Genomic DNA, 16,244 nt, shown 5'->3' on the forward strand with positions numbered 1-16,244 from the left:
AACTGTCAAATACAGGTGAAGTGTTTTCCTGAGTTCTATGAGCTGTTATAGCAAATGCTCAAATCTGAGGAGGTCATGGGAATCCCCAGCTTACAGCCAGTTGTTCAGAAGTGTAGGAGGCCTTGACTTGTGATTGGCATCTAAAGTGGGAGCAGTCTTGCAGGATTGAGCTCTTAATCAGTCAGGTCTGTGCTAACACTGGATGTTTAGTATCAGAAATGAATTGAATTGTTGGACACTCAGCTGGCGTTCAAAGAGCTGGAGAATTAGTTGTTGGTGTGAAAAAACGCACACATTTGGTGTCAGAAGTGCTGTGAGTACAAAAAATGTGTTTCTTTTTTTTTCCTTTTACTAGCAAATTTGGGATTGGAATCAAGGTGTCTGGATTCCCAGTGTATTCTATACACAAATCTTCACATAGGGAGGATAAAAGTCACTGGGCATGAATGAAAACATGACTGTATAATCTTGACTTGAAATATGGGACAAGGTAGGTGACAGGAGCTATAGTCATGAAGCTCTCACAGGGCTGCTCCAAACTACACTGAAAACCATTTAGGAAACCATGAAATTGGTTACCTTGCTCTTTGGTTTTCTGATTTTTTTTAAGTGATAGTTTTTAATATCAATATGTCTTAAAGTCCAGTGTGTATTAAGTCATCTAGGTTATTTATTAAAAATCTCCAAGGCAGGGCTAATATTAAGGCAATCCACAGGCCACACTGAGAATCACTAGTTTAGATCCTATTTAAAGACCCCTTCTGAGCTAAGATGCTTTGTTTACACACAGCCAGGGAAAAATTCTAGATTGGTGGCTCCCTAAAGTGCTTCCTAAATAAGCTGCATCAAAGGCACATGAGCAGCTTTTTAAAATTTCTGACCCCACCCCCCTCATTCCTACCCAAGCCGACTAAATAAAAATTGAGGGGAAGGGAGCTGAGAAATTGTATATGAGGGACTTGAGCATACATGCATTTCAGTATCCTCCGGGGGTCCTGGAACCAATCTCCCAAGGACACTGAGAGGTGACTGTATATATTTGTAAAAAATAATGGGACATTTGCTGATTGCAGATTCACAGTGTAGACAGGAAATTGTGAAGAAAATGAAACAATTCTCAAATTTCCCTGATTACACAAATTTTGTTTTTGCATAAAACTCATGGGAAGTGCTGACCTAGATAAATTAGAGGGCAGTAGAAAAATACTTCCTTAGAATTGTCAAAAAATTGTTTTACTTGTCCAGCAAACCAATGACTATAAAATTATTAAAGTTGCATCCAATGGACCACAGAATTTTGAGAGTGAAATACTATTTCAACAAATTGATTAGCTATTTGATTCAGAGAGAGACTGACTTCCATATAGAGCGCATAATCTTTAAGAACTATCATTTTTAAACTATTATTTTGAAATAATTTCAGATTATAGAAAAGTTTTAAAAAGTACAATTGAGTTCAGTATTTCCTGCTCCCACATTCCCAAAATGTTAGCAATTTCCTACATTTTTTTCACTATCCTCTCTGTATATGTATGAATATACAAACACACATACCTTTTTTTTTCCTGAACCATTTGAGAGTAAGTTGGTGACAGGGTGCCTCTTTAGAATCAAATACATGTGTGTATTGTTAAAAGTATATTATCTTATGTACAGCATAAATATCAAGAAATTAACATTAATACTATTATCCAATCCACAGGTCTTCAAAATTTTCCTGTTGCACCAATAATATCCTTTATAACAGGGGTCCCTAACTCCTGAGGCCATGGACCAGTCCCAGTCCCATTCCCAGTCCCTGGCCTGTTAGGAATTGGACCACACAGCAGGAGGTGAGCAGCGGGCCAGTGAGCAATACCGCCTGAGCTCTTCCTCCTGTCAGATCAGCAGCATTAGATGATTAGATTCTCATAGGACCGGGAACCTTATTGTGAACTGCACATGCGAGGAATCCAGCTTGCGTGCTCCTTATGAGAATCTGACTAATGCCTGATGATCTAAGGTGGAACAGTTTCATCCCAGAATCATCCCCGCCCCCTTGCCCCTGGTCAGTGGAAAAATGGTCTTGCACAACAGGGGTCCCTGGTGCCAAAAAAGTTGGGGATGACTGCTTATATTATATATATATATATGTGTGTGTGTGTGTGTGTGCACGCACATATATATGCTATATATTATATATATACACATATGCAGACACACTAAAAATATTCATATTTTTTCCTTTCCTGGCCCAGGGTCCAATCTGGAATCTCCTGTTGCATCTAGCTGTCTTATCTCTTTAGTCTCCTTTGCTCTGGAACTGTTCCTTAGAACTTTTCATGACATTATTTTTGAGGAATATAGGCTATTTTATACAAATCCCTCAGTTTGGATTCATCTGATATTTCATGAGTAGATTCAGGTTATGCATTTTCAGCAGGAACCATGTAAGTGTGTGCTCTTCTCAGCAGGCCTATGGTCTCTATTTGTCCCATTACTAGTGGTGTTAACTATTATCACCTAAAGTGGTATCTACCAGGTTTCTATACTGTAAACAACTTTTTCCTTGTAAAATGTCTTACATAATTCAAGACTATGTAAATATCCTGTTTCTATCAAACTTTCACCTACCAATTTTAGCATCCACTGATGAGTCTTGCCCAAACAATTACTACCATGGTAGATGCCATGTGGTGATTTTCTAAATCCAGCATTCCTTTTACATGAGCAGGAAGACCTTTCTCACCTCTCCATTTATTCTTTCATTCATTTATATCTGTGTGGACTTGTGGTTTCTTATTCCATGTGTTATTATTTATTACTATGACGATTGACTTTGATGCTCAAATTGTTCCAGATTGGCAGATGGTAAACCCTCAATCTGCTGTGTCCTTTAGATACTTCCCATCATTATTTAAGTACTTCCTTTCTGGCAAAGCAAGTATTTTAGACTCACCTTGTGCTTTTCCTGTTGCAGCCCAGGAATCAGAAATCTAAGACTTCCTTTTTTTTTTAAAGAAGAGAATTTAGACATCAAGATCTGAGTGCCCACAGTTGTAATTGGGCTGTCACTGCTACTAGGCTCTATCAGAGGACACAACTAGGAAATATGTGTGTGTGTATTACTACATGTTAAATATTTCTATATTTCTATTAATCTATACTTACTTTTAAAAACCCATGAGTTCATACTGATGTTTCTAATTCTAATCCAATACCATAGGAAAAGAACCCATTGTTTTTAATCGCTATCTTGAAACTATACCAAGCACACAGGCTTAATGTCATTAAACTCTTCATGCTATAGAATGGGAGCTAGAAGGTATCCTGGATCCACACAGTGCCAGTCATCTACTCATCCATTTACTAACTCAATACATTTACTAGACACTTTCTATGTGCTGGGCACCTGGCAAGGAATACGGAAATAAAAGACTTTGTCCTATCCTAAAGTAGCTCAATTCATTAGGTAGGATGGAAGAAAATAACAATATAGTATAATAAGCTCTTTATTCAAGGTATGCACAGTGTTCTATAGGAAGAGAGGAGGAGCACAGAACCCAAGCTGAGTTAACTGGAATATTTCAGAGAAGGAAGTAAAAATAGGTGGCTTATACTACTCATTGCAAGAATTTTTAGATTTTTTACATGTCTGCATAAATAATGGGTGTACTTTGCTTCTGATTGAAATGCATTTTAAGGAGAGTTCTGATTTATCTAAAAGCGTTCTCTGCATTGATTGAATTCATCAAAAAACTACTCAGCCATGACAACAGCCATGAAAATAAATTCCCAGGACCAAAGGTTTTCAGTTTTTGTATTAGACTCCTCCCAAAGACCACACAGGAAAAGAGCAACTTCAGATTTTAAAAAATGCTTATTTTCCCATGGTGGGTTTTCTGCCTTTTTTTTTTTAAACAAATTAAATAAACTGGCATATTTGTCATTGTATTGATTGTCATCCTTTCAGGTAGTTTACATACACTTTCTCCTGTCTAAACTTATCTTAAACTAAAGAGAGGTCTAGTAAGGAAAGGGAAAGATCTGTGTATGTGAGCATGTTGGGGAATACATCTAGAAAGAAAAAGCTAAGAAAAAAATAATAATATTCAGTGGAGAAAAGTATTAGGGTAAAAAATAACTTTTTAAAATTATTTTTGTTGTCCTAAACATAAAGCATTCTTATCAAATTTTCTACCACTGCTTTTGAAAATTATTAAAAAAAAAAAATTAACGCAGGCTGTCTCCTGCTTTGTGTTCCCCTGGCCAGTTTTCCCCAGTGCTAATTCTGGCACTCTAATGCTGCTTTTTTCACCAATTTAGAAATCCTAGCCTAGAAAGTTGCTCAGGAAGATGCATAAGTAAAGATCATCAGTACTAGAGGCTGATCTTCATGCGACCTGTCATCGTTCCTTCTTCTACAAAATGGTTCCCTAGTATAGCCGATACCACAGAAAAAGGTAGAAATTGAGACATGCATATGCACCTTCTCTTCATTCTAAGAACAGAGTCAAACATGAGTGACTGACTTATCATCATTCATTTATCCTTTTATTTAGTGGCTTAGATCCTAGAAGATAGATTCCCTATAAAATCATTTTAGCCACGAAATATTCATAAGAAACCAACTTCAAATGTTAATGAGGATACTGAAGTTTTTTTTAACCTAAAAAAAGTGGCAATTTTAGGTAACCATAAAGCTGAGGCAAAGGCAGTTTGGGTTCTTGGAAAGAATCCTGCCTACCATCTTCAGTGGCCTCTGGGCACAAAGCACTTATGATCACTGCAGAGGTGGAGCAAGGTAAAGGACTGTGTCAGCAGTTCATGTTGTGACAGCAGCAGCATCTGCAGAAAACGCAGGTCATATACCTTGGCTTACACAAGGAATGCTATGAAAAATGAGCCACCAGGTGGGAGCTTTAACATAGGTAATGATTAGTGAAAGCTTCTTAGAAAGTGAGAATTTGTAATTTCTTTATTAAACATTACATTCAGTGTAAAGGCTTTAACCATCATAATCACCATGATATAATATGTGAGTATGTATATGTAAAAAAATACCCATTGAACATAAAATTATGTTTTGAAATCTATGCAACATGAAATATAGTTTGATATAAAAAACCCAACTAATCAGAAACATGAAAACCAGTATGTTTTAATAAAAGCCTGTTGCTGGTTCTGGAATAACTGTGGCATGCATGTTCCTAGTCATGTTGGACTTCTCCTTCAGCTTTGATTGGAGTAGTGTGTGTTCCACAATGCCAATTCTAATGTCCATCTCTACAGTTTCTTGCTTCAGTTTTGTTAAGCTCTGTTTAATCTTCACCAAAGGAGCTGCAGAATGAAAATAACATGAAATAAAAATGTTCATTTGGAGTATCAGTGTATTACAGAATTGTATGACATTTTCCTCACTTTGTCTTAAGCCCAAAATAGGGTTAAAAATATAGCCAAAAACTTACTGACATTCACACAGTTTTGCTGTGGCATTTTAAGCACCTGAGATTTTTTAGGATGGAAAAATGATGTAGTGTTTGATGTATTGAGACTAAACTTTCTTCCTTTTCTAGGGGAAAGAGCTGCTAAACAGGTGTTTAAGGATGTGTTCAAGATGATTTTATGAGCTAGTATATTTGTCTGTAGGAAAAGGAAATACAAAAGGGGAAAAGGGGAAGAGAGAATTATCTTTGAGATGTAGATAATGGGCCCACTTAAAACATATTGCAAAAAAAAAATCCTAAACATTCCCTTTTGCAAGATCATTCAGTATATATCAATAGAACTCTAGAAAATTTTTCTAGGGCATAGAAAAGCCTTCGGCAATCACTACTGGCCCATATCAAAGTAACCTGCTCACAATGGAGGATGATTACCAGAGGATGATTAATTCTTCTCTATTTGACCCCTGCCCAGTCAGTTCTACTGGGGAGGAGGGAAAATAAACTACGGGTTATCACATCACTGCCTTAGTGTCATTTGGGCATATACTTAGTGCCCTTTTGTATATAAAATAGAAAAAGTGAAGCTCATTTGATGAAAACAGAACACAATATTATTTTTTAAACTGGCATAACAAAGTACATATTTAAATATTTCCCACTCTTTGAATCAATAGTTTGAATGTTAAAAACCTCTAAATTATAGTTAAAAAGCCTACCCTTCTCAGCTGATTTATAAGAAAAACAGTACGCTGATTATCAGACATTTTTGTACAATGAATCTCTCTTCAAACAAGCAACAAATAATTTGTTTTATATATTAATACTATTTTGTTAAGTAGGTTTCTTGAAGAGCTATTTTTCTCTTGCTCAGTTTTTCCCCTAAAATGAGCATGTACTTACCACCATCAGTCATGCTGCTGCCCTTTTCTTCCATTTCTTGTTTTACCTTTTCTAATTCTTCCATAACCTTTCATGAAAACAAGTTTTCATGAGCATTACATTTTAATAAACTTTCACAATTTTTGAATTATGTGTTAAGAAAATGTAATTTAGATATTAGCCACACATATAGAAAAATAAAGATATTAGGAATATTTTGGACATAATTCAAATAATATAAAGTATGCAGATATACAAAGCTTTTCAGTTTTTCAGAATGCTCCTAATGTTAAACTTCACCAAATGGCTGTCACATCTGTTTTCTCATGTTGCAATATACTAAACACAATCAAAGTTGTTTTAGTCACTAGACACTCAAACCTCGCAATTATCTCATCGCATATACTTTGAAATTCTCTAATAACTGGTTATTAATTAAAATAGTATAAACATCCTGAAGAGATTTTAGATTTCTAAAGCTTTTCTGGGTATCTTTCTTAATATTATAGTTCTATAAGACATTATGTCACTTTTTCCTCTATAGGACACTAAAAAATGTTTATATCATATGGCTATATATAAGAATATTCTTATTGCTTTATCCAAATCATGAACTCCGAACTCCAAGGAGGCATACTTTGCTGTCACACTTGTTCCTATCTGCACTCTATCTGGCGATTATACTACTATAACCTCTATTATTAGCAAAATTCCAAACCAGCATTAATATAAGTAGAAAATACTATCTTTAAGAAATTGAAAATTTTTTACATGATCTACAACTAAGCTATAATTATTGTGACTTAGTAGGCTTTATTTTTATCATACTGGTGAGTAAAACTTTCCCTGGGAATAAAGTGCTCATCCAAGTAAAGCAAATTAATTTTTTCAGGCATCTGAAATGTTACAACTGGGGATAACTATCTACTCCAAAAGAAGTAAATGGTTCCCTGGACTCCCTTCAAGTGTTAATTTACCTAACATAAGTGAACACTTTACTTCTACATACTGTTTTATTTGCTTAGAAGCACCACAGGATTACAGTCTAAATATTTCTGATGTTATATTTTTAGTGTTTTAAAATAACTTTATTCCTCAAATAATCTCTATAAAAGAGGTTTAATTCTTTCCTGTCAAAACAGTAAAGTTTGTTCCAATTATACTGGATTGTAACCAAAGATCATCTTGGATTTTAGTCCCAAATAAACTACTGACCTTTTTTCAAGGTTTTTTCCTCCTTTGGCTCTTCAGTGAAAAATGGGAATATATATCAGGTCCTACCTCTCTTGCAAGATCATAAAAATAAATGCAACTATTTATTTTTATGCAAATATTCTAAAGGAGGAGGTTATAAGCCACTCCCAATTGTGGACAGAGAAATACACCCAGGATCACACACAAATTATCAATAACAGTCACTAAAAATAAACCTTATATCTTGCAGACTAACGTTAAAATTTGTTATAGATTCCTTAAGTCAGTGCTTTACTATTCATCCCCATGTTAATAATAATTATTATGTAAAAAATGTTGAGGAAAATTATAAGTGTGCTAATATTATGAGCAGGTTTTATGTTGAATTTAATACAGAAACTTCAGGCATCCTGTGGAAACAAGAAATGTATCAATTATTGATTCAGTCATAGGAAAATTAGGGATTATCTCCTAAAGAAAATGATTTAAAGGCACAGGAAGCAACTGAAATTAGCAGTGTTAAACCATTTGTAGGTTCTCAATGGCTGGGGCCCAGCTGACAGGTGAGAAGCAGGGCAAGAGCATCAGTGTGTACCTCAGAGAGGAGTCTGGTTCTTTCCGTCACTCCTCCATTTCCCTGCTGGTATCGCTCCTTTGCCTGAGAGGAAAAACATTTTGTTTAATGGCAAATTCAAAGCAGCAGCAGATTAAATACGACTGACCTCTTTGTGTTTGCAATTTCTGCAGGTCATTTTATGACAACCCTGCTCCTTGTTTGTGAATACATTTGTGAAAGTGACATTTAACTGTAGCTGTTTTATGTCCCTAATAGGCAGCATGTATTTAACTAAGTACTACAAAATGATGAACTACCTTAACCTTCACAAACTGACTGTGTACCTCGCATGGGCATGGTTCACAATAAAAACTGTCCTTGGTCATTCCTAAACAGTTTAGGAGAGGGGCTCTTGGTCAATCTAATTTGCATGCTCCGCAGAGAAAGTCCGTTCTAAAACCAAAAATCAATCAAAGTAGAGCATGAAGCTCAATGATGAATAAGGATTAACATCCCGTAAGACAGTACACTCAACTGGAGTATGTCAGAAACTAACAATCAATTATATAATATTAATATTAGACAAATACATGGTGGCTTTGATCAGAGAGTTTTACATCATTTTGATAGTTAAAATATTCATAAGTAATTGTGTATATGAAGGAATAATACATTTAACAAATAACATCAAAAAGTGTAGATTTCTATTTAGTCTTTGAGGACTTCTGAAAGTATAGAAGTATCTCAAATTTACTTCTACTTTTTTCTCTTTCTCAACTTTGTCTGCTGAAGACAAAAAATATGCCTTCAACTGATGTTTGCAACTGTCCTTACTAGCCTTCTTTAACATCAGAAAATAGGGGGCACAAATCCCAAAGGAAAGCTTTTAGATCCCTACTGCTGGGACAAAGAACTGGTGCTTTCAAAGTCTAGTGATTTTATTTTTTGGTTAAAATTCTAAAACTTTGAAAGAATGAAAAATTTGTCTCATTTTATTAATTAAACTGCTTGTCTCTGAATGTATCTTGCTTTCACATTCCTTATTATGTGGTTGTAAGCCAGAATGGCAAGGACTGTCTTTTTCCTTTGACACATGTAAATGCATACTATTCTTCTTCCTCCTACGCCAATGGTAAATTAACAACAGACTTATAGAAGCAAAACCAGGTGTCCTGATACTCTGTTCCTGTTCTAAGCTATGTTCCCCCAACAGCATATGCCTTCATTTACTTAAATCAAATGAAGACGTGCATTTAAAGACTTCCAGGAGAAAACAACTTCTATTACATGTGAAATGGAAATAAGTTCACTCGGCTCTCTTGGCTTCCTAAAGTGGGCAGAAAATTGATGTTTTGCTGTTCATGAAAAGCATTTCATGATTCTCAAATGAACAGTATTGTGTCAAGTTTAGGGTTTAGGGTTGTTAACTTGAATAAATCCTTGGAAATCATTCTTAAATTACCTCACTCAGCTGGGCTTGAGCTGCACGATATTCTTGAACCAAATTCTCAAGCTGATTGTTGATGTACTTTTCTCGGCTGCTGATCTTTTCCAAAGTCCTAGTAATTTCATTATGGAGTTTGTCCAAAAATCCCTAGAAATTCCATGGAATTTGCAGATAGAAGAACTCACAAACATATTTTTTCAAAAATATTAAAAATGGGTTACATCTCAATCCATTCTACAAATAATCAACTACATGTGCAAAAGAAGACAGCTTGAAATTTTCAATAGCACAAAATATCTGTGATGAGAAATATTTTAACCACACTTAGAAGAGTTTTAGAATAAAAATGCACCTGGCAGTGTTAGTCAATTCATTTGTCATTATACATACCATAAAATTTATGTGACTATAATTAGCATTATATAACATTCACAATCAAAGTAAGGGAATAACGTGAGTTTCCTATAGCACGATTCAAAGGTGACTGAAATATTCCAGTTGGAAATAGATCCCTAAGCCTATAGCTCTAGCCTGGGACACATAACTTTTCAGTCTAGCTTTGCTTCTTTGTGACATTCTCCAAAGTCCTTGTTTCTGGCAGGACAGCAAGCCTGCGGAGGCTGTAAGTTCTAGACCTTGCTGGTCTGGTGTTCTTTCCTCCTTTAAGATTCAGAGAGGAAAGGATGATGAAATGTTTCTCTCTAATATATGTATTATCTATATATTATACATATATATCTTATATATATACATATATATAGCTTTTATTAATATGTAAGTTAGCTTTCTTTAGTTGGTTTAAATGTAAGGTCAGTTGAAATGTAACACGGTACATTCAATTAGTAAGTTCCTTAAAGGCAAAAATTGTGTCTTTTTATTCTTTCATGTTCTCTTATAACAGGTGTTCCACAGATGAGTAAATGTACATTGATTCACGTAAAGTAATTCATATACCTTGGTCTCCTTTAGAGCAGATTCAATTCCACTTCTGTGCTGGTGCATTTGGTCAACATGGATTCTCCAATCCTACAGGCATAGAGCACATAGAAATAATGTAAAAAATACTACATTTCCATCTTTCCCTACTTCTTGTGAAGTTGTAACCTTTAATTACTTTGGTTCCTGCCCTATTTCAGGTGGGATAGCCCTATTTATAGCTTGCAATCAGATTATAAAGAAATATGTGTAGAGCACTTTAGGATAAAAGGTTCTAAATAAATGTAAATTATTTCACGTGTTCACAGAGTGATGTCTGACAATTTAAATTATTCCTGCACTGCTGGTGGTTAATATTTATGACTACCCATTAAAATGAAAAAAAAATTCTAATTACTAGAAAAGAACTACTTGTTTAAGCAGTAACAATTATGTTTGCCAAAAGCAATTCTGAACTCAAATATCATATATCAAAGATTAGTTTGTCCCTTGGAAATGAAAATGGGGCCCTCATCTTCATGAAGCCTTTTGAGTCCCTTTCTTAATAAAGGAAGTTTATAATGATTACTGGAGTTCATGTATTTTAAAATATCATCTATTACTACTAGACTGATCTGAATTAGTGTGCAAATTTGAAATCTACATCAACATTTTAATTTCCTACAAAATATATTAAAAATATTTCAGTTTACTACAAAGTAATAATTTTTTATTTTATTTTACTTTAAGTTCTGGGATACATGTGCAGAATGTGCAAGTTTGTTACATAGGTATACTATGTGCCCTGGTGGTTTACTGCACCCATCAACCTGTCATCTAGGTTTTAAGCCCTGCATGCATTAGGTATTTGTCCTACTGCTCTCCCTCCCCATCCCCCATCCCCCAACAGGCCTGGGTGTGTGATGTTCCCTTCCCTGTGTTCATGTGTTCTCATTGTTCAACTCCCACTTATGAGTGAGAACATGCGGTGTTTGGTTTTCTGTTCCTGTGTTAGTCTGCTGAGAATGATGGCTCCCAGCTTCATCCATGTCCCTGCAAAGGACATGAATTCATTCTTTTTTATGGCTGCATGGTATTCCACAGTGTATATGTGCCATACTTTCTTTATTCAGTCTATCATTGATGGGGATTTGGATTGGTTCCAAGTCTTTGCTATTGTAAATAGTGCTGCAATAAACATATGTGTGCATGTGTCTTTACAGTAAAATGACTTAAAAACCTTTGGGTATACACCCAGTAATGGGATTGCTGGGTCAAATGGTATTTCTGATTCTAGATCCTTGAAGAATTGCCACATTGTCTTCCACAATGGTTGAACTAATTTACACTCCCACCAACAGTGTAAAAGTGTTCCTATTCTCCACATCCTCACTAGCAGCTGTTGTTTCCAGACTTTTTTGATCACCACTCTAACTGGCATGAGATGGTATCTCATTGTGGTTTTGATTTGCATTGTTCTAATTAACAGTGGTGATGAGCTTTTTATCATATGTTTTTTGGCCACATAAATGTCTTCTTCTGAGAAGCGTCTGTTCATATCCTTTGCCCACTTTTTGATGGGTTTTTTTTTTCTTGTAATTTGTCTAAGTTCCTTTAGATTCTGGATACTAGACTTTTGTCAGATGGATAGATTGCAAAAATTTTCTCCCATTCTCTAGGCTGCCTGTTCACTTGGATGATAGTTTCTTTTGCTGTGCAGAAGCTCTTTAGTTTAATTAGAGGCCATTTGTCAATTTTGACTTTTGTTGCCATTGCTTTTGGTGTTTTAGTCATGAAGTCTTTGCCCATGCCTATATCCTGAATGGTATTGCCTAGGTTTTCCTCTCAGGTTTTTATGGTTTTAGGTTTTACATTTAAGTCTTTAGTCCATCTTGAGCTAATTTTTGTATAAGGTGTAAGGAAGGGGTACAGTTTCTGTTTTCTGTATATGGCTAGCCAGTTTTATCCCTGATGAACATCAATGTGAAAACCCTCAATAAAATACTGGCAAACCAAATCCAGCAGCACATCAAAAAGCTTATCCACCATGATCAAGTCAGTTTCAGCCCCAGGATGCAGGCTGGTTCAACATACACAAATCAATAAATGTAATCCATCACATAAACAGAACCAGTGACAAAAACCACATGATTATCCCAATAGATGCAGAAAAGGCCTTTGATAAAGTTCAACACTCCTTCATGCTAAAAACTCTCAATAAACTTGGTATTGATGGAACATATCTCAAAATAATAAGAGCTATTTATGACAAACCCATAGCCAATATCATACTGAATGGGCAAAAGCTGGAAGCATTCCCTTTGAAAACCGGAAAAAGACAAGCATGCCCTCTCACCCCACTCCTATTCAACATAGTATTGGAAGTTCTAGCCTGGGCAATCAGGCAATAGAAAGAAATAAAGGGTATTCAAATAGGAACTGAGGAAGTCAAATTGTCTCTGTTTGCAGATAACATAATTGCATATTTAGAAAACCCCTATGTCTCGGCCCCAAAACTCCTTAAGCTAATAAGCAACTTCAGCAAAGTCTCAGGATACAAAATCAATGTGCAAAAATCACAAGCATTCCTATATGCCAATAATAGACAAGTAGAGAGCTAAATCATGAGTGAACTTCTATTCACAATTGCTACAAATAAAATAAAATATCTAGGAATACAACTTACAAGGGATGTGAAGGACCTCTTCAAGGAGAACTAAAAACCACTGCTCAAGGAAGTAAGAAAGGCCACAAACAAGTGGAAAAACATTCCATGCTCATGGATAGGAAGAATCAATATCATGAAAATGGCCATACTGCCCAAAGTAATTTATAGATTCAATGCTTTTCCCATCAAGCTACCATTGACTTTCTACCCAGATTAGAAAAAACTACTTTAAATTTCATGTGGAACCAAAAAAAAAAACCCCATACAGCCAAAAAAATCCTAAGCAAAAACAACAAAGCTGGAGGCATCATGCTACTTGACTTCAAACTATGCTACAAGGCTACAGTAACCAAAACAGCATGATACTGGTACCAAAACAGATATACAGACCAATGGAACAGAATAGAGACCTCAGAAATAACACCACACATCTACAACCATCTGATCTTCGACAAACCTGACAAAAACAAACAATGGGGAAAGGATTCCCTATTTAATACAAAGTAATAATTTTAAAAGAGTAATTGAGAAATACCCATTGTAAAAGAAAAATACAGTAAGTTAAAGTAAGTGATGCAACTAGGCTATTTCTTCATTGCACATATCTGTTTGCATACCCTGATGCTCCACTTTGCTAACTACACTATTTTGTGAGTAAAAGGATATTTTGTGAATAGTCCCATTCTACCTATTATTTAACTTTGAAATGGCCTAGTGACTGCAGGGTAAGAAACTGCTTGGGTACTTCAAATGTACCAATTATAAAATTATAATATATTAAAGCTGCAAAGAGCCTCAAAAAGCATCCAGTCTCACCCTTGTCATTTCACAGATAAGCAAACAGAGGCCTGGTGACAGCAAGGGGCACACCCAAGGCCACATAGCTATTGGTGCACCTGGATAGAAGCCAAATGTAGTAATTTCCACACAACACATACTGGCAGTTTGACGTAAAGAAAGGGGGCAACTGGCTACCTGATAGTGAGGGTGCTAGAGTAGAAAACAAATCAGCACTTTCCTTTATCCTTAAGCATTTTTCTGTTTCATGAGCAAAAAGTATCGCAGAATTGGAGAGCTGAAAAGAACCTTAGAGATCATCTATCCATCTACTTAACAATCATCTAGTGTAACGTTTTCATTTTATAGTTGAGGGGACTATTCACCACCCGTGACTATGACTACACAGAGTTGACAACGGAACAAGGCCCCTCCAAGTCAGCTAATCAACACTGGAATAGAGAGGAGGGACAACTGGCTGGCCTTCTGCACCTGGACCAAATATGGTTGAGCCTCAAAATGGAAACCTATTGGAGCCCAAGTTAGCATCTTTATGAAAGAAAATGAACCTAACACGCATCATTATATTATCATTAATTTTTTTTGAAAAAGTACTCATCCTGCCTGGTTCCAAAAAGAATTTCAGAGGCCTTAATAAACACCAAGCTCAAGTATTTACATTGCTTCCCTCTTCCTAACAGTCTCTGTTTCTCTTTGCCTGTTTCTCTCCATATATATGTATTTAGAAAAATGCATACATACATACATATACAAATATATAGTTTTTATTATAATGGATATGTTAAAATAGTTTGTGTTCTGCTATTTCTACCCAGCATTATTTATAAATATATTTTTGCCATGCATTGACATTTAAAACATTTCGAGAGAAGCAACCATGCCTGACTCATTTAGGTATAACTACGATAGTGTACACTGATGTAAAACTCCATGGAGGGGCTGGTATTTCTGTGGAACCTCGAAGCATGAGTAGCATTTCAACAGGCTGCAAAGATGTGCGGAGGAAGCATATTCTTGGCTGAGGGAGTAACATGAACAAGGAAAATACATGGAGACCAAGCAGCCAACAGCTGTCTAGCATGGAAAACACAAAGTTCTTGGGGATGGGCTGGGGAGGATGGATCACAAGAAAATAAAGCTGGAGAGAGAGGTTCAATTAGATCAAGGGCTTTGCTTATAACAACTAAAGAGTATAGATTTTATTATGTACATAATGGGGAGCTATCAGATATTTTTGGTTTCAGTTTTAAAGATAAGTGTATGTTTTGAGAAAGTAACAGAGTAAAGGACTGATTAAAAAGGCAAGAGACTGAAGGCAGGTAGGGACCCAGTTAGAAGGCTAATAGTCCACATGATATAGATTAGCCAGGTCTGAATTAGAGCAATGCTTGTGAGAATAGAAAGGAAGGGATGCATCAAGGGACATTGTAGAGGCAGAACTAGCAAAACTTGAAGACTGACTAAAGTGAAGTACGCATATGGGGTGACTGAAGTGAAGGTGGGGTAGTAGAGACAATGTGTCTTTAAGGTTTCCAGCTTGAGGAACTGAGGGGATATTAATACTACAGTGTGACAAGAACAGCAGAGATTTTAGGGAAGTTAAAAATACTAGGAATTTGTGTTTGCACTTAAGTTTGATAAGCTACTGGGACATTCATGTATTTATAAAGCCCATTAAAGTGTTGAGCCAGTGATGATTTGTAATTACCTGTGAGGCAAATCTGAATATTTGTTTTATTAAAATCTTCTAGATGGACACATGCCTGATATAAAGTTAAAGTCAAAAAGTATTCTTACCCTAACTTCTAGAAATTATTCTCACAGAAATAATTGGGAATACACAAAGATTAATGTACAAGTTACTGATAAAAGTAAAACAGCAGAAAACTAAATATCTAACAGCAAAGGACAGATTAAATTAATTTTGTAATATTCATTCTACTACTAAAAATAATGTGGTATGATACTGTTTTTATAAATCTGGAAACCAAGTAAAACTCAGTGATACACTGTTTGGGGATACAAACATATGCAAACACACACACACACAAAGACACTGTATACAAACTTGAGGATAGTGATTACTGTGGGTGGGAAGGGGCAGCAGCAGAGGAGCACACAGCTAACTTCAGGTGGTAATGGTCTAGTTCTCAAGTTGGGGGTGTGTTTATTATTGGGCTTCATAATTAAAATTGCTTCTCAACTTAAGATGGGGTACAACCTGATACACCCATCATAAGCTAAAAATATCCAGTCAAAATTGCATGTAATACACCTAACTTTCCGAACATATAGCTTAGCCTAGCTTACCTTCAATGTGCTTGAAAGGCTTACATTAGCCTCAGTTGGGCAAAACCATCT

The 16,244-nt window shown here is 35.7% G+C and overlaps 1 protein-coding gene across 1 annotated transcript in view; it reads right to left on the reverse strand.

Moving 5' to 3' along the window:
- Nucleotides 1–3,475: 3,475 nt before the first annotated feature.
- The window catches only part of IFT57 (intraflagellar transport 57), a 61,613-nt gene continuing 48,844 nt past the window's right edge, over nt 3,476–16,244 (reverse strand). Inside the window, exons 7-11 of the mRNA NM_018010.4 lie at nt 10,457–10,528; nt 9,518–9,649; nt 8,095–8,157; nt 6,327–6,393; nt 3,476–5,319 (exon numbers count right to left, since the gene is read on the reverse strand). Coding sequence (NP_060480.1) covers nt 5,141–5,319; nt 6,327–6,393; nt 8,095–8,157; nt 9,518–9,649; nt 10,457–10,528 — 513 coding nt within the window. The 3' untranslated portion in view covers nt 3,476–5,140. The remainder of the gene's footprint in view (nt 5,320–6,326; nt 6,394–8,094; nt 8,158–9,517; nt 9,650–10,456; nt 10,529–16,244) is intronic.

This window comes from Homo sapiens, chromosome 3, assembly GCF_000001405.40.
Source record: "Homo sapiens chromosome 3, GRCh38.p14 Primary Assembly".
NCBI lineage: Eukaryota > Metazoa > Chordata > Mammalia > Primates > Hominidae > Homo > Homo sapiens.